At 36.1% G+C, this 19707-nt stretch overlaps 1 protein-coding gene across 2 annotated transcripts in view; it reads right to left on the bottom strand.

The window, feature by feature from the left end:
* Positions 1-4838: 4838 nt before the first annotated feature.
* Positions 4839-19707, bottom strand: part of GTPBP10 (GTP binding protein 10) — a 44738-nt gene continuing 29869 nt past the window's right edge. For both annotated transcript variants that reach the window (NM_033107.4, NM_001042717.3), the window contains 4 exons: positions 18678-18785; positions 18081-18158; positions 13213-13336; positions 4839-11400 (listed from right to left, as the gene is read on the bottom strand). In NM_033107.4, coding sequence (NP_149098.2) covers positions 11138-11400; positions 13213-13336; positions 18081-18158; positions 18678-18785 — 573 coding nt within the window. In that variant the 3' untranslated portion in view covers positions 4839-11137. The remainder of the gene's footprint in view (positions 11401-13212; positions 13337-18080; positions 18159-18677; positions 18786-19707) is intronic.

Raw genomic sequence — 19707 nt, 5'->3', positions numbered from 1 at the left:
TTATATAGTGACCTTCTTTGTCTCTTTTCAGTCTTTTATTTGTAGTCAATTTTATCTGATTTAAGAATAGCTACTCCTGTTCTTTTTTGGTTTCCAGCTACATGGAATATCTTTTTCCACCCCATCACTTTCACCATGTGTATCCTCATAGGTGAAGTGGCAGCATATACTTTGTTTCATATCCATTCAGCCCCTCTATGCCTTTTCATTGGAAAATTGAATCTATTTACATTCAGAGTTATTATTTGATAAGTACTGCCATTTTTTTTTGCTTGTTTTCTGGTTGTTTTGTAAGTCCTCTCTTTCTTTCTTCCTGTCTTCCTTTATGGTTAAATGATTTTCTCTCATTGTATGTTTTAATTAGTTGTTTTTCATTTTTAATAAATCTATCATAGATTGTTGTGTGAGATTACCATGAGGCTTACAAAAAATGTTATTTTAAGGAGATGACAACTTAGATTGCAAAAAAAGTGAAAAAAAACTTGTACACTTTAACTCCATGTCCCACATATTTTGACTTTTAGTTATCTCAATTTACCTATTTTTATATTACCTACCTCTTAACAGGTTGCTGTAGCTATTATTGTTTTTGATAGAGTTGACTTTTGCGCTTTATACTAGAGTTATAAATAAATTGCACACCATAATTACAATACTAGCATATTCTGGATTTATCTGTGTACTTAATTTTACCAGCGGATTTTATATCTTCAAATGTGTTGGATTTTTTTTCTGCATGGTTAGTGTTTTTTGCAGAACTTCCTTCAGCATTTCTTTTTTTTTTTTTTTTTTTTTTTGAGACGGAGTCTCACTCTGTAGCCCAGACTGGAGTGCAGTGGCACGATCTTGGCTCACTGCAAGCTCCGCCTCCCGGGTTCACGCCATTCTCCTACCTCAGCCTCCCGAGTAGCTGGGACTACAGGTGCCCGCCACCATGCCCGGCTAATTTTTTGTATTTTTAGTAGAGACGGGGTTTCACCATGTTAGCCAGGATGGTCTCGATCTCCTGACCTCGTGATCCACCGGCCTCGGCCTCCCAAAGTGCTGGGATTACAGGCGTGAGCCACCGCGCCCGGCAGCATTTCTTGTAAGATGGATTTGGTGGTAGTGTGGGAAGGGACATATATCTCCTTCATATTTGAAGGATTACTTCTGGTTCCAGTATACTTGGATGGCAGGCTTTTTTTCTTTCAGCACTTTGAAAATGTCATTGCACTCCCTCCTGGCCTATATGGTTTGTTGAGAAGTCTGTTGCCAGATGAACTGGAACTCCTTTATGTTATTTGCTTGTTTTATTTTGCTGCTTTTAGGATTCTCTTTGTCCTTGACCTTGGAGAGTTTGATTATTAATGCCTTGTGGTAATCTTTGTATTGAATCTGTTTGGTGTTCCCTAACCTTCCGGTACCTGGGTATTTATCTCTTTCTCTAGTTTTGTTATTATTTCTTTGAATAAGTTTTCTATCCCTGCTCTTGCTCAACTCACTCTTGAACACCAATAATTCTTAGATTTGGTCTTTGGAGGTAATTTTCTATATCTTCTAGGTGATTTTTTCCCCTCATATTTTACTCCCAAAAGGTGATCTTCATGGCTTTTCACTGTTTTCTTTTTTCTCCTCTGTGTATTTTCAAATAGCCAGAGTTCACTGATTCTTCTGCTTGATCCACTCTGCTGAATTTTTCAGTTTAGCCAATGTATTTCTCAGTTCCAAGATTTGTTTAACATTTAAATCTTTGTTACATTTGATAAGTTTCTGAATTGTTTTTCTGTGTTATCTCGGAGATCCCTGAGTTTCTTCAAAACTACTACTTTTAATTCTTGGTTAGAGAGCTCACGTATCTCCAACTCATTAGGGTCAGTTACTGAGGAAACATTCTTTTGATTCTTCCTTTGAAATACCCACTTGCCCTTTATTCACTACAAATAATTATCGTAATTTTATTCAAGGCCTCACCTCCTTAGATCAAGATAGGTGCAAAAATTTCCATAAGTAATGGTGAATTTAAAATACTAGAAAACCCAATAATTTATTATTATTTAACATTTTTGTTTTGTTTTGTTTTGTTGAGACAGAGTCTTGCTCTGTCACCCAGGCAGGAGTTCAGTGGCGCAATCTTGGCTCACAGCAACCTCCGCCTCTGGGTTCAAGCGATTCTCCTGCCTCAGTCTACTGAGTAGCTGGGATTACAGGTGTGTGCCACCATGCCTGGTTAATTTTTGTATTTTTAGTAGAGATAAGATTTTACCATGTTGGCCAGGCTGGTCTCAAACTCCTGACTTCGAGTGATCTGCCCACCTTGGCCTCCCAAAGTGCTGTGGTTACAGGTGTGAGCCATGGCGCCCAGCCTATTATTTTAAATTTAAAACAGAAAACCTTATTACATACTAAGCAGTGGGCTCTTTTTCACAATTATTTAATTCCAGTAACTCCACATTACCAGCAGAGAAACTGAGATACAGAGTAATTAATGTGCCCCACGTCAAGAAGTATTAAGTGGTGGACCTTCTTAAAAGGTTGCTGTCATTGCTCAGAACTCTATAAACTCAGGCCAATCTCCTTAATTTAGATTTCTGTCTCTAAGACTTACTCTAAATGCTCATGTCCGGTATTCCTGAACTTGGAATGGCCTTACACTATTCTTTTAACCCAAATCTTATATACATTCACCCTTCTCTGAATATTTGTGTCTTCTCTAAGCTTTTTACAATTCATAAACTCCAAAATGTAAACTAACTTGCAGATACTGTTCCCTTTTTGTTAGTCATATCTCACCAGAGTATTTCCAAGTCCATGACTGAAATTCAATAAATACAGATTAATAAAAATTACTCACCATATACTTTTTTAGAAAAAACCTGCGAAATAAAAAAATAACATCTATTAATTGCAAAATTGGAAAATGTAATTGCAAAGTATATTATCACTATTAGTTGAGAAGTGAAAAGGGGAAAAATAGTGAGTCTGTTCTTGAATTACTATTAAAAAAATCTGAGGCTGGGCTTCTGCAGGCTTTATACGAAGCACAGTGCTGGCATCTGCTTCTGGTGAGGCCTCGGGAAGCTTACAATCATGCTGGAAGCTGACAGGGAGCCATCGTGTCACATGGTGAGAGAGGGAACAAGAGAGAGAAGGGGACGTTCCAGATTCTTTTTTTTTTTTTTTTTTTTTTTCTTTGAGACGGAGTCTCGCTCTGTCGCCCAGGCTGGAGTGCAGTGGCGGGATCTCGGCTCACTGCAAGCTCCGCCTCCCGGGTTCACGCCATTCTCCTGCCTCAGCCTCCCAAGTAGCTGGGACTAAAGGCACCCGCCACTACGCCCGGCTAATTTTTTGTATTTTTAGTAGAGACGGGGTTTCACCATTTTAGCCGGGATGGTCTCGATCTCCTGACCTCGTGATCCGCCCGCCTCGGCCTCCCAAAGTGCTGGGATTACAGGCGTGAGCCACCGCGCCCGGCCTCCAGATTCTTTTAAACAACCGGATCTCATGTAAACTGAGCAAGAACTCATTCATCACCAAGGGGATAGTGCTAAGCCATTCATGAAGGATTTGCCCCCATGATCCAATCACCTCCCACCAGAGCCCACCTCCGACATTGGGAATCACATTTCAACATGAGATTTGGAGGGAGCATTCAAACCACATCAAATAGGGAAGTGTTAAGTTTTATGTATCCCTCAAAAACTGTATGTTGAAGTCCTAATCAACATTACCTCAGAATCCAACCTTATTTGGAGATAATGTCTTTATAGAGGTAATCAAGTTAAAATGTCATTAGGGTGGGCCCTAATCTGACTGGTGTCCTTATAAAAAGGGTAAATTTGGTGACAACCACACACACAAAGAGAACACCATGTACAGATGAAGGCAGAGATTGGGATGATGCTTCTACAAGACAAGATATGCCAAAAACTGGTCCCAAATCACCAGAAGCTAGGCTAGAGGCATGAACCGGATTCTCTCTCATGGCCCTCAGATGCAATCAGCCCTGCCAACACCTTGATCTTGGATTTCCAGGCTCAAGAAAATGTGAGATAATAAATTTCTGTTGTTTAAGCCACCTAGTGTGTTGTACTTTGTTACAGCAGCCCTAGCAAAGTAATAAAGGAAGGAAAGTTCTGAGTAAATTAAACAGTGAGATGTCACTTTACAAACTGTTAGAAATTTGTAGTGCACCATCAAATTTGATAGCACATTTGCTTCTAAGATTCTTGAATAAAGCTACTTAGTGAAGAGGGGGAAGGAAGAAGAGAGTGAAGAGGATTTACAAAAGAATTGGCCAATTAATAGGATAAGTAAAGGCTTTTGCCTGTAACTGCATTAAGGTGTTTTTTTCTCTTTTCATGCCTACTACCCGCTCCTACCATCACCACTAATTTTTTTCGCAGTTTTAAATAGAAACTTTTATGTTGAGTTTTTGATGAGGTATTATAAACTTGGATTTACTGCAGTCCTCCGTTCCCCCATCCTCAGTTTGTTATTTACAATCAACTGTGGTCCAAAAATATTAAATGGAAAAGTTCAGAAATACACACTATTCTAAATAACATGAGGAAATCTCATTCCATCCTGCCAGGAGGTGACTCAACTCTTTATCTGGCGTATCCACGTTGTATATGCTACCCTCCCATTCACCATGGATAGATATCACCTGCTCCTAACAACATGGCTCAATGATCCAGGATCATCAAAGCAAAATATTCTCCTGAGGTATTGACAGAAGGTCAGCAGTAGCCTAACACCAGGTACGTTACAATGCCTACGTCATTCACCTCACATGATCTTATCATGTAGGCATTTTATCATCTCATATAATCAGTAAAGATATTTCGAGAGGGAGACCACATTAACATAGCTTTTATTACAATATATTAATTGGCCCAATTTAATATTTTTAATCTCTTACTGTGCCTAATTTATGAACTTTATCATAGCTGTGTATATATAGAAAAAAACATAATATATATAGGGTTTGGTACTATCCAAGGTTTTAAGCATCCCTTCCTCCCATCCTCAGTTTCAGTCAACTGTGGTCCAAAAATATTAAATGGAAAAGTTCTGAAATACACACTATTCTAAGCAACATGAGGAAATCATGGGGGAGTTTTCTGCTTCATATTTTTATAGGAAAGGAAGGTCATGTGTGCTCATTTTATTGTTCTTACAATTTCTCTTGACCCCAGAGTGGTACCACTTCCTGGAAAGATTTGTTTTCAAAACAGAGGTTCAATTTTTATATAGTCCTCTTATTTCCCCCATTAGAATTCACTTGACTAGGGGCTTTTATTTACTCTGTCATTTAATCATGTTTCAAATCCATCCAAAGTCATAAGCTTTTACTCAATGTCTGCCCTTGATTTAAAATATTCTCAATCTCCCTCAATTTGTAGCACACAAAACCGAAGGCATATTTTAGCTTATAATCATGTCTTTTTTCTTAAGAAAATTATACTATAGTCTTCTTAAAGCCTTTTATATAGAAATAATACCAATAACAGTATTTGGTAACCAACTAGAAAAATGAAAGTACCGATCAGAAAATATTGGCAGTTTCAGAAAAATATACTGGAATATGGGCCATGAACAAAGGAAGCTTTTGTCCTTTGCTTTAAACTTTCAATGCACTCAGAATTTAGATAAGAAAATACTATCATGCCATATATTGCTCGCAAATTAATTATAACATAAGCTGCATGTCCTGTTCTTCAAATTCCAAGTATTTCAAAGGCACACGACTTGGATAACAGCTATGCTTCACATAGCTTATCTTACCTGTACATCCCAAAGAATTTAATTTCTATTATAAACACATTAATAATATATACAAAGGTGATTACTTTCTCTGAAATCTCCCAGGTACCCAACAACTATTAAGAACATTTAAAAAAAATTCTAACAAATTGCCTAAAATTTGTGGTTGATGATGGTCAGAAATGGTAGTTGAAATTGTCCCTGGCTTTTTCATGCTTACAAAAGCCAAGTGAGGCAATAACCACAACTGATACTTCTGAGCTATCCAGAGAGACATGCAACAACTTTCCAACATCCATTTTTTTCTTCTTCCCTCTCTCCCTTTCTCATTTCTACTACCTATTTCATTTTGCTTTTTCTTCAGCTGGCTACTGACACCCACTCAAAACTAAAGCTATTTCCCTAATACATTTCCCTCTGCTTGCCAAGCTTCAATTAGAAAAAAGAAAACTGGCTGGGCATAAATGGCTCATGCCTATAATCCTAGCACTTTCAGAGACTGAAGTGGGAGGATTCCATGAGGATGGGAGTTCAAGACCACTCTGGGCAACATAGTAAGACCCTGTCTCTACAAAATAGTTTTTAAAAATTAGCCAGGTATGGTGGCACACACTTGTAGTCCTAGCTACTTGGGAGGATGAGGCAGGAGGATAACTTAAGCCCTGAAGATTGAGGCCGCAGAGGGCTATAATCATGCCACTGCACTCCACAGAGAGACCCTGTCTCTAAAAAGAATAAATAAAACTAAACAAATAGAACAGATATGAAATATCTCTTTAAGAAAAAAAGATGTTTATTTTTCACTGCTTAACTTTTAATTAAAATTATGCATGTTATCTGCCAACACTTTTTGTCCACTGTTTATCTCATTAATTCTTGAGTTATAAACTTTGATAAGGCATAGACATTTTTTTTTAATAAATGTCTTTTAAAAAATTTTCCCATCCTGGCCAACATGGTGAAACCCCGTCTCTACTAAAAATACAAAAATTAGCTGGACGTGGTGGTGGATGCCTGTAATCCCAGCTACTCGGGAGGCTGAGGCAGGAGAATTGCTTGAACCAGGGAATCAGAGGCTGCAGTGAGCCAAGATAATGTCACTGCACTCCAGCCTGGCAAGAGAGCGAGACTCCGTCTGGGGGGGGAAAAAAAAAAATTCAAATTTTTTAGGCTCCCAAAAGAGTTTAAAAAACAACTCATGTATTCACCATCCAACTTTAAAAAAATGACATCGCTAGCAGGCAATACAGTGCAGTGTTTAAATAAGTTAAAATATGTGATTTACTCAGCCCAGTACCCAGCATATGGTAACATTACCACTTTAGATATGATTACTAGCACAGACCATGTACTCGAACAAGATTTCTGGATTTGTTTCACTTTCTATTCCGTTAAGGAGAGACAGATTTAAACCAGATTTGAGATACTATTAAGGATTTAAAGATATGCATTAAATTCAATTCACTATTTGGTCTTTAAAACAAAATGTTGCCCTATTTTTGCAATAAGATATCTTTTATCTTTTGTGTAGGTTTACACAAGTTATATTACTAATTTTTATTTTTAAGCTACAGTTTTAAAGTGCATCTGTGCTGTTGCTTTGAAAAATTATTTTTAATATATCTTAATGACAATGCAAATTTGTAGATGGGATTTGTAAAACTGGGTTTTCAATCTGAACTTTGCAAACACTGTGAAACTGCTTGGAAAATAGTTTATGTGTTTATGTACATTTTTCGGCAAGACAAGTCTGTAGCTTTCATTAACTACTGAAAGGAATCTCTAACCTTCATCCTTGCAAAGCAAATAAGCACTGAGATAAAAGAAAACACATAACTTTACAAGAAATCTAATTGGATAAAACCTGAAATATCCTTGACCTAATTTTTCTCATTATAAAAGATGACTTTTTTCCTGATTATGTAACTAATACATGTTTACCATTTTAAAAAAGTTCACCTTGTTATGACAAATAATAATATGAATATATATCACAAAAAGCACAACATAATAGGTATTTTGGAATTTTTCAGTGTGCAGGTCCAACTTCATAGTACAATATACTTAATACTGTATAAACATATTTCATGATGGTAAATAAATCTGATATTATAGAAAGCTCTGCAAGAACTACTGGGACTTTGTAAAAATTTGCTGTACATTGAATTTAATACTCTGGTTATTCAGTAACATAATAAGTGTTTCAAAAAAGCATATATTTTGAAAATTGCATTTTGAAAGGTAAAAATGAAAAGTCTTACTTAAGGACAAAATAAAATGCATCTGAGATAATGTTAAAAGACTTACTTCAAAATAAGTCTTTGTTTCAAAATTATTTTTTATAAGATAAAAAAGGAATCTGATCTTCTCCATCAGAATAAAAATCAAAGGTCAAAAAAAGGTACATAGAGTACACTTTGAGTAACCAGAAAATACTAATGAATTGAACATCTTAGTGAGTCACATAATAAAATGTTTCGGTTAGTCATGGAGTGGCACCCTGGGCACTACTGACAGAGCAAATAATCCTGAACACACATCTACTACCCTTTGCCACAGTGCAAAATGAGATTATGGTGTCAGTACTTCTGATATTCACCTGATGAAACTGTCCTTACATTGATACTTGTTTACATTTAGAAAACAATGGAGCTTAAAAAAAAATAGCACTGAAGTTACAAATGTAAAACATACCCAATACAAAACCTGGTCACTGTGATCACTATAAATTCCAAACGCTTTTCCTCACTCTTATTCTTTTCTTGTAAAGAGGCTATTCCAATCCCCTGCAGTTTCTGTTATCAAAGGCAAGATATACAAGGACAGTAGGTCCTGTCTGTTCTCTTCAACATGGCACATACAGCACCTTGGACAGTGCCTGATACAGGACATTGCTCAATAAATACATCAGCAATGAAGAAAAAAGAAATAAAAGAAAAGCCAGTTTGGGGACTGGAATGAGAGGTAGGAGTGAGGAACAGAAAATAAAACAAATATAATTGAAATAATACTGGGAAAACATCACTCATGTTGTCAAATCAGAAAAAAATTTAAGCTGAGAACAATGCATTATTTTTCTTTAATACTTTACCAAAGGGTGAACAGCCATATCTCAGGCTGTATGCAACATTAAATTCCAAAATAATTTCTAGTAATTTAAAAATAGCATTGAAGAATAATTTTTTGAAGTACAATATTTTGTTTTTTGAGAGGAAGTCTCCCTCTTGTCCTCCAGGCTGGAGTGCAATGGCGCAATCTCAGCTCACTGCAACCTCCGCCTCCCGGGTTCAAGCGATTCTCCTGCCTCAGCCTCCCGAGTAGCTGGGATTACAGACATGCGCCACCATGCCCAGCTGATTTTTGTATTTTAGTAGAGATGGGTTTTCACCATGTTGGCCAGGCTGGTCTTGAACTCCTGACCTCAAGTGGTCTTCCTGCCTCAGCCTCCCAAAGTGCTGAGATTAACAGGCGTGACCCACCGTGCCTGGCCTGAAGTACAATTTTTTAACTTGCTACTATTATGTAAAAAAACACTAAGTTGGAAAAAATTTATATAATGAATTCATTTGGGTAAAAATTTATACATAAAAAATTTCTGCAAGAATGTAAACTATTAATCATTTTCCCTGGGAAGAACTGAGGGGCCTAATGCAGAAAGGGAGCTTTTATTAGTTACTTATATGCTTTTGTACTATTTGAATTTTTTGTTTTTACAATCAATATGTACATTTTATAATAAAACTCATTTAAAGGGAAAATGTCCAGTTTGTATTTGTGAAACACTCAGGTAGAAACTTAGAAATTGCAATCTCTTATAATATATTGATTGTTGATAATATTAAAGTTTGCGTTTTCTGTTTTATAGAGAGCCAGGGTCTTGCTATGTTGCTCAGGCATGAACTCCTGGGCTCAAGCAATCCTCCCGCCTTGGCATCCCAAAGTGCTAGGATTACAGGCATGTACCGCTATGTCTGGCCTGCACCACCATGCCTGGCCTGCACTTGCTATTTATTCTCTCTTTACTAAAATAAGAAAGTGGGAAATTAAATAGATTATGACAAAAGAAAGTGAAATAGACTAGGACAAAAGAAAAATGAAACAATATAGATCAGTCTCCTCCAATTCAGGAAAAAATACTATTACATTCAAGAAACGAAAATTTTCCAAAAGCTCAAATCATAAACAGCTATCTTCTAGTTTCTGTCATATCTTTACTATCATTGAACATGTATTCAAATTTAGGGTTTTAAGGTCTCCACAAAAGATAACTATTATATATTTAGTGCAACCAGGTACAAGACAGGCTCAAAAACAAACAAAACTGAATTGCTCATTCTAATAATAATCTAGAGAATCCTTCCACATAAATTTAAAAAATGATCTCAATAGGGACATCCTAAGTAAAGGAATATCAGAGAATGTTATTACAGGTGGGCTGGCCATAAACTTGTAAAATGTAATTTTTTAGCTCTTTTTTTTTTTTGAGATGGAGTCTAGCTCTGTCACCCAGGCTGAAGTGCAGTGGCGCGACCTCGGGTTCATTGTATCCTCCACCTCCCGCGTTCAAGCAATTCTCCTGCCTCAGCCTCTTGAGTAGCTGGGGCTACAACAGGCATGCGCCACTATGCCTGGCTAATTTTTTATATTTTTAGTAGAGACGGGGTTTCGCCATGTTGGCCAGGCTGGTCTTGAACTCCTGACCTCAAGTGATCTGCCCTCCTCGGCCTCCGAAAAGTGCTGGGATTACAGGCATGAGCCACCATGCCTGGCCACTGGTTATTTTTTACTGTTGACATACTTAATTACAAAATAATAACTTTAAAAGGTATGGTTCTTCAATAATGACACATATATCAGAAGGTAATAATACTAAAAAAAAGATCTGTGAAAAAACTTTCAAAATAAAAAAATTAAATATAATTTTAAAAAATGACGTAGAAAAACTGGATTTATCATGTGTAACATGTTTTGAAATATCTATACATTGTGGAATGGCTCAATATAGCTAATTAACGTGCATTACCTTATGTGCTTTTTTGGAAAAACCACTTAAAATTTACTCAGTGACTTTCAAAATACATTGTTGTTAATTACAGTCACCAAGCTGTACAACAGATCTCTTGAACTCAGTTGCCTTGTCTAACTGAAATTTTGTAAATTTTGACCAATATCTCCTCAATCCTCCACTGCCCCACCAGCCCTTGATAACCACCATTCTATTCTCTCCTTCTATGAGTTCAACTTAAGATTCCACAGTGAGATTATGCAGCATTTGTCTTTCTAAGCCTGGCTTATTTTACTTAACATGTCCTCCAGGTTGTCACAGATGAAAGGATTTCCTTGTTTTTAAGCATTAAATACTGTTCCATCAATACCATTTTTAATATATTTAAATTATATCCATTTTGGAAGTAGTAACAGCATGCTTTGATGGTGGCTCAGTAGAAGACATTGTATCAGAAATCCACAAATTAAGCAACTGTTTCTTATGAAGTGCATCATTTTCCTGGTTGGCCTGTTCATCCAGTGACTTTCTTATACAATTCTTTAATTCTTCGATTCCTTCTCCAGTAACTGCAGATATGGGGATGATATGTTGGAACTCTACAGTCCTCTCTGGAATCATGTTTTTTTCAAATAAATGCAGAAAATCTAAAAGAAAGAGCACAAACAAAGCTGATTTCCATTGTTTTCGAAAGTTAGTTAAAACCATGTTAATGGTTTGATTTGTGAAGCAGGGAACCAACACCAGCATTTTTCATGCCTTTTTTCACCTTTTCTAATAAGTTCTCAGAGCCTTTGGATTTTACCATTGATTATGGTAAGGTTCTTGGCACATAACATACTTGTTAGATAAATATATTTTAAACCAAACTAAGTATGAGTAGAAGATGAATCACAAAAATGACTTACTTAAGGAAGTAATAAATTTTGTGTGTGTGGGGGGGGTTAAATAAGGCAAGGCAGCATTGATTCTCTGAAAGATACTTTCTGTAAAAATAATAACATCATTTATGATTTGAGACATTCTACTTGGCCTCAGTACACTGGAGACCTTTAACTTCCCCAAAGTATAGGTTTATCATCAATGATGCTAGGATCCATACAAAAACTGAAGAGGGATTATAGAGAATTCAAGGGAAGATAATTTCAGATGAGTCCAATCTATCACCCCACAAGGGCTAACAATTGTTATATTACTTTTACCTCTTCCCTGTCACCATGGCATACTGATTGGCTGGGGAGATGGCATACTGATTAGATGGATTAACTGATATGAACTAGAAAGGCTGGACTGAAACAGATTGGTGGAGAAGACAACATGGAGCTTACTTTCTGAGATTCAAAAGCCCCGAAGAAAGTCCAGAGAGGATAACTCAGGATTATCACTAAAGGGCCTATATTTTATTTCACGATAGGTCAGAACAGCTACAGACTCCTGAGTCACCCTCACTTTCGGTATTTCCTCTGAAAATTCCCTTCTCTGCAAGATCAACTAGCAAAAAGAACTAATGACCATACAAAGCAAATGTCATTAGGAATGAAGGCTATTTAGTATCAGAGAATATTTATATCCCATGAGTAATTTATTAACTCAAGGACAGCTCCAACATGTAGATTACACAGGGGAAAGATTTTTGAGAGGAAAGGACCTTCTGGTGCTGTTTGACAGTCTTAGTACCTATAATCTATTTTCCAACAATTGTTACCAAGAATAAAAACAGAGACATATTGAAAAACATGTTAGCCACATACCATACACCCTACTTTTCCTCATTTGTGCATGAGGTTCTCTACTAGACTCTGAATGAAACCACCATTGCCATAGGATAGAAGGTGTTCTGCAAATGTCAATATTCAAAACTGTGGAGAATCCCTTTAAGTTACTTTACATATAGTCCAGGAAGTAAATTCCAGACAAATAAATCATTTTGGAGTCACAGCTTCTATTATTGTGTCACACATACACAGGAAAAATGAAGTTCTTTTCAGAAGACTCATCCTCTTCAGAAACCTATAGAGTTACTTTTGCCAAGAAACATACTTCTTTAGAACTTCTTAGTTCTGTCTTTAATTTTATGATGTACAGTACTAGACGAATGAAGAGCTTGTGAAGTATGTTAATGAAAGTGAAAGACTTCACAGGTAGATGCTGACTTTTTCCTCCTTTTATTCAAATCCCACATATGCCTTATGGGCCCAATTTAAGTTTTATTCTTCATGTAGCCTGACCTTTTTAGTTCAAATTAATCTTTCTTTTGTCTCCTTTAATTTACTGTCCATATCAAACATTCTAGAATTTGGTAATTATTATGTTACAATGTTATTTACATGTTTTGTATATTCTTTCTTCAAACTTGACTTTTAAGAGCAGAAACTGTCAGTTTTCCACTGATTATAACAGCATTCTCTGTACATTGTAATTATTCTTTAAATTAGAATTAAATGAATAAATAGGTTTACCTTTAGGATTCTGGAGCTGGCTCATCAATTCATGGAACTTATCTTGGGCATCTGGCAAGTCCATTTTATTAACTGCCAAGAGTGCAGGTTTTGTCTGAAGTTCCTCTTTGTACAATTCCAACTCCTTTAAATCAAAAGAGAAAACCCAATAATTTTAGTACTGGTTTCTGTATAAACTACTTATTTGGTAATTAATGACCCAGGTGATCTAAAACCCATTCACATCACCGAAATGCAATAAATCCCAACAACAGAAAACAAAAGGAAGAATTTCAGAAAATGACTCTGGTTAAGTCATGTGTTAGTATGTTTTAGCTTAAATGATATCCTAGAGACAGTTGTAATTTTGCGTCTAGAGTCAAATATGGGTATCTGGACTTCACACAGATAAAATTCAGAAGTCAGTAATGATCACTGAATGTTATACCTGTAGTATTCTTGGAAAAAGTAAATGCACTTAGGAATAAATCTTTGTTACCTTGGATTAAACAACTGTTTCTTAGATATAACATGAAAAGCACAAGTAAAATAATAGATAAAAGGCAGAAGACTGCTTAAGGCCACCAGGAGTTTGAGGCTACAATGAGCTAGGATCATGTCTGCACTCTAGCCTACATGACAGAGCGAAGCCCTGTTTGTAATAAAAATAAATAAATATGTAAGACTGGGCATGGTGGCTCATGCCTGTAATCTCAGCACTTTAGGAGGCTGAGGTAGGAGCATTGCTTGGGCCCAGGAGTTCAAGACAAGCCTTGACAACATAACGAGACCCCATCTCTATACAAAATTTTAGTTTAATTTTAAAAAAGGAAAGAAAAGAATGAAACAAATGGAATTTCATGAAAATTAAAAATTTTGAGTTGTTTTCTTGCTATTGAGAGTTGTTTTGCTTCCTTATGTTTTGGATATCAACCACTTATCAGATATATGATTTACAAATATTTTCTCCCATTCCCTTGGTTGCCTCTTCACTCTGCTGACTGTTCCTTTTGCTGTGCAGAAGCTTTTTAGTTTGATGCAATCCTACTTGTCTATTTTTCTTTTTGTTGCCTGTGCTTTGGGGTCACATTAAAAAAAAATCATTGCTCAGACAAATGTCATGGAACTTCTCTGTTTTCTTCTAGTGGTTTTATGGTTTCAGGCTTTAAGTCTTTAATCAACTTTGAACTGATTTTTTATATGGTGTGAAGTAAGGATCTAATTTCATTTCTCTGCATGTGGATATTCAGTTTTCTCAGTATCACTTATTGACGAAGAAAACTGTCCTTTCCTTACTGTGTGTTCTAGGTACCTTTGTCGAAAATTAACTGTAAATGCATGGATTTAATTCTGAGCTCTGGATTCTGTTCCATTGGTTTATGTGTCTACTGTTATGCCAGTACCACGCTGTTTTGATTATGATAGCTTTGTAGTAGGTTTTGAAATTAGGTAGTGTGAAGCTTCCAGCTTTGTTCCTTTTGCTCAAGATAAGATTGCTTTGGCTATTCAGGGTCTTTTGATGTTCCATACAAATTTTAAGATTTGTTTTCTATTTCTGTGAAAAATGCCATTAGAATTTTGATATGGATTGTGCTGAATCCGTAGATCACTTTGGGTAATATAAACCTGATTTAAAAATGGATAAAGAACCTGAATTGACATTTCTCAACAACAAACAAATGACCAATATATGTATGAAAAAATGTTCAACATCACTGATCATTAGGGAAATGAAAAGAAAAACCACAATGAGATAGCTCCTCACACTTGGAAGGATGGCTATTATCAAAAAGACAAAAGATAACAAGTGTTGTCAAGGATATGGAGAAAGAGGAACTCTTGAACACCGTTGAGTGGGAATGTAAATTAGTACAGCCATTGTAAAAAGCAGTATAAAGATTTCTCAAAAAATTAAAAATAGAACTACCATATGATCCGGCAATCCCACTTCTGGGTATATATCCAAAGGAAATAAAATCAGTATGTCAAAGAGATCTCTGCATTCCCATTTTTACTGAAACATTATTCACAATAGCCGAGACATGGAATCAACCTCAGTGTCCATCAATGGATGAATAACGAAAATGTGGTATACACACACACAACTGAATATTATTCAGCCTTAAAAAAAGAAAATCTTGTCGTTTATAACAACATGGATGAACCTGGAGAACACTATGCTAAGTGAAATAAGCCAAGCACAGAAAAAAAAATACTGCATAATCCCACTTATATGTGGAATCTTAAAAGGTTGAATTCATAGTAGCAGAGAAAATGGTGGTTGCCAGGGTGCTTGGGGGAGGAAGATGGAGGGGTGTTGGTCAAATGGAACAAAGATTCAATTAAATAGGATGAATAAGCCCTGAAGATCTATTTTACAGTATGATGACTATAGTTAATGTATTATATATTTGAAAATTGCTAAAACAGATTTTAAATATTCTCAACACACATAAAATAGTATGTAAGATGATGGATCATGTTAATTAGCTTGATTCAATCATTTCACAAGGTAAACATATATCCAAATATCACTTGTACACTTTAAGTACACACAATTTTTATGTCAATTACACTTTAATAAAACTGGAAAATTAAATAAATAAATAATAGTTTTGTGCCACAAAGAATACAGAAAAAATACACTGAAAAAGTGAAAAGACAAGTCACAGAAGGGGAGAAAATATTTTCAAATTATGTATCTTAGAAGGGACTTAATTTCCAGCTGGGCATGGTGGCTCACGTCTGTAATCCCAGCACTCTGGGAAGCCAGGTGGGCGGATCACCTGAGGTCAGGAGTTCAAGACCAGCCTGGCCAACATGGTGAAACCCTGTTTCTACTAAAAATACAAAAATTAGATGGGCGTGGTGGCACATGCCTGTAATCCCAGCTACTGGGGAGGCTGAGGCTGGAGAATCACTTGAACTTGGGAGGTGGGGGTTGCATTAAGCCGAGACTGTGCCACCGCACTCCAGCCCAGGCGACAGAGTGAGACTCCATCTCAAAAAAAAAAAAAAAAAAAAAAGAGAAGGGACTTATTTCCAAAAATACAAAACATGCTTATAACTCAACAATTAAAAGACAAATAATACAAATAGTAATGCACACAGAATCTGAACAGACTTTTCTCCAAAGACACAGAAATGCCTAATAAGCACATAAAAAGATTCTTAGCATCATTAGTCTTAAGAGAAATGCAAATAAGAACTATAACAAAATACCACTGCACTCCCACTAGGATGACTAAAGTAAAAACGACAGACAATAACAAGTGTTGACATTCATGTGGAAAAATTGGAACATACATTGATGGTGGGACTGTAAAATGGCACAATGGTGCTACCAATTCAGAATAGTTTGGCAGTTCCTCAAAATGTTAAACAAAGCATTATTATCTGATCCAGCAATTCCACTCCTAAGTATACATCCAAGAGAAATGAAAACATGTCTATACAAAAACCTGCATACAAATGTTCACAGCAGTATTATTCATTATAGACAAAAAGTGGCAAATGAAATAGGATCTATAAAATCCTGGAGGTAAGGCAATACCATGTTGTCTTAGAGAGAAATCACATGGCTGAAATATAGCATCTAGGGGAGAGGGTTACAGAGGAGGACTGCTAGGTAGGGGCCTAAACTTGCAGATTTCATAAATCATGCTCAGGTTAGACTTTAACCTAACAGCTATGGGGGTCTATCAAAGTGTTTTAGGCAGGGAACATCAGCATCAGCTTGGTGCTTTTACAAAGATCACTCTAGCTGCCATATAAAAAATGGACTGGAGAGAAGCAAGGCAGGACACAGGGAGAATGGAAAGGACCAGATTCAATATTCCAATAAGAAGGGCTGATGATTATAACAGCGTAGATAAAGACAAGAGGATGGATTTCAGAGAGATTTAGGATAAAAAACTGACAGGGCTTGTGTAGGTGGTGAGAAGAATCAGTATATCATAGCTTACACATTCACTAAGTTATGGGGATGGCCGAAAAGTTTTTTAAAAGTTTACTTTTATCCATATTAAGTTTAAGTGACTAATGGGACATCTAGTCAAAGAAGATGTCCGATGGGCATCTGGTCTAAAGAACAACAAAGGCCAGGTGCAATGGCCCACACCTGTAATCCCAACACTCTGGGAGGCCAAGGTGGGTGGATTACCTGTGGTCAGGTGTTTGAGACCAGCCTGGCCAACATGGTGAAACCCTGTCTCTACTAAAAATACAAAAATTAGCCGGGCGTGGTGGCACACGCTTGTAATCCCAGCTACTCGGGAGGCTGAGGCAGGAGAATCACTTGAGCCCGGGAGACAGAGAGAGCCGAGATCATGCCACTGCACTACAGCCTGGCAGACAGAGCAAGACTCTGTCTCAAAAAAAAAGAAAGAACAATGAAAAGATTTAGGTATCAGCTACAGATCTGGCAGTCATCAATATTATTAATTGTAACTAAAGCAACGGGAGTGAGTAAGATAGAAAATAAGGTTAGGACAGAACTCTGAATAATGTTACTTAAAGGATGAGAAAAAAGAGCCTAAAAAGTAGACGGAGAAATAGTGTAAGAGTAGAAATAGAACCAGAAGATTACCGGTCACAAAACTAAGAATGAGAAACAAGAGGAATTAAACAATGTGCCAAAGCTGAAGCAAGATAAAAACCTGGGAAGTATGTAATGGGGATTTGGAAGCCCAGGAGTGTTTTATCCACTGCAGTAGTTTGAGGAGCAAATGAATGTAGAGGAAATGGAGACAACAAGTTTAAGTAATTCTTTAACTGACATCAAAGCTTTAAAGGTGGAGTATGTATAGACTGTAATTATGTTATTTCATATAGTCTTACATTCCTATGTATTAGACCAAATACAGAACACAGTAAAACAGAAAACCTACTTTTGTAAGCAGTATTATGGTTTCAAAAGCTGTCCTGTATTGAGTGTGAGAAGAAAGCTGAAATCCAGAAATATCAACCTAAAAAAAAGAGAAGGAAAGAGACAGCCTTTAACATACGAAGAATAGCTATACATTTCTATGTTTTAAAATGTTTTACTCTCTCAAGCTAAAAACAATTTCTCTATACTCTACTTGTTACTTAGTAATTCAAAATAAGTAACAGAAATCGAGGTGTTAAGATAACTTTAATTATTCTGATAAAATTACAGTTATTAATAAAATAAAAAACTAGGATAAGACAATTTGTATGAAGACAATCTCATATATAACTCTAGCATCATCAGTGAAGAATGAAAGAGATACTATGATACTATATAATATGGTAGTATGCTGGAAATCTTAAGGAAATACATGTTGGCAAGTATGGCCAAACTTACATATGATATAGTAAACAATGTCACTTCCATCCCCATATTATAAAAGACTTAGTGGAGTAACATATGCTACCACTTTCTTATTTATAAAAAAATTCTAGAAAAACTAAATTCACTGGTTTTCAATTTATTTGAATATCACATTAGTATACATATGACTTACAACAAAAAGTAGTTGTCTAGTTCTTTCTATATGCTTGAGGAATTTGTGGCCCATTCCTTTGTTCATATGTGCTCCTTCTATTAAACCCGGAAGATCAGCTACTGATATCTAATACAAAGTTAAATGGTTAATGAAAAAGGAAAATGTATGAAAACCGCAAGTTCAATTACATCCCAAAATTTTTAAGATATTTCAAATATAAACAGTTCCTAACTTATGATTACCACTACATCTTTGAAAAGCCAAGTATAAGAGTAAAATTAATGTACAGTATTAAGAATTAAAATTTTGTTATCAGATATTAGAGTCCCATATTTACTATTAATCTAATAATCTAGGAATTTTACAGATTAGTTTAACATTTGTTTATTTATTTATTATTATTATTTTAGAGACAGGATCTTGCTCTGTCACCCAGGCTGGAGTGCAGTGGTGTGACCATAGATCACTGTAGCCTCAAACTCCTGGGCTCAAGCTATGTTCCCACCTCAGTCTCCCAAGTAGCTAAGACTCCAGGTGCGTACCGCCATGCCCAGTTAACTAAAAAAATTTTAGTAGAGACAGGGTCTCGCTATCTTGCACAGGCTGCTCTCAAACTCCTATCCTCAAGTGATCCTCTCACCTTAGCCTCCCAAAGTGCTGGGATTACAGGCGTGAGCCACCACACTAATCCCTAGTTTAAAATTTATTTATAATTTCCTAAATGGTATTGTCCAATATGAACTTTTCACAGAATTTCAACCTTTATACTCCAAATTCGTAAAAATCTATGAGGTTATTAATTCAGCAGACATTTACCAGGTACAGCTCTGTATTTTAAATTCAATTTGTAATTATTTATTTGGCACCAATTGTTCCTTTTCTGTTCATATTATACTAGCAGGATTATCGACCATTCTTACAAAGTATTAGGTTGGTATAAAAGTAACTGTGGTTTTGGCATTACTTTTAAGAGACTTTACTACATTAATAGAGGTGTGATTCTCCTCACCTGTTCTTTGCAGTGCCATGTTTGTTAATGCTTCACATT

The sequence above is a fragment of the Homo sapiens genome, chromosome 7 (assembly GCF_000001405.40).
Source record: "Homo sapiens chromosome 7, GRCh38.p14 Primary Assembly".
In the NCBI taxonomy this organism is placed as follows: Eukaryota; Metazoa; Chordata; class Mammalia; order Primates; family Hominidae; genus Homo; species Homo sapiens.
Note: the sequence above shows the minus strand (reverse complement) of the source record. Positions and strands in the feature narration are given on the sequence as shown.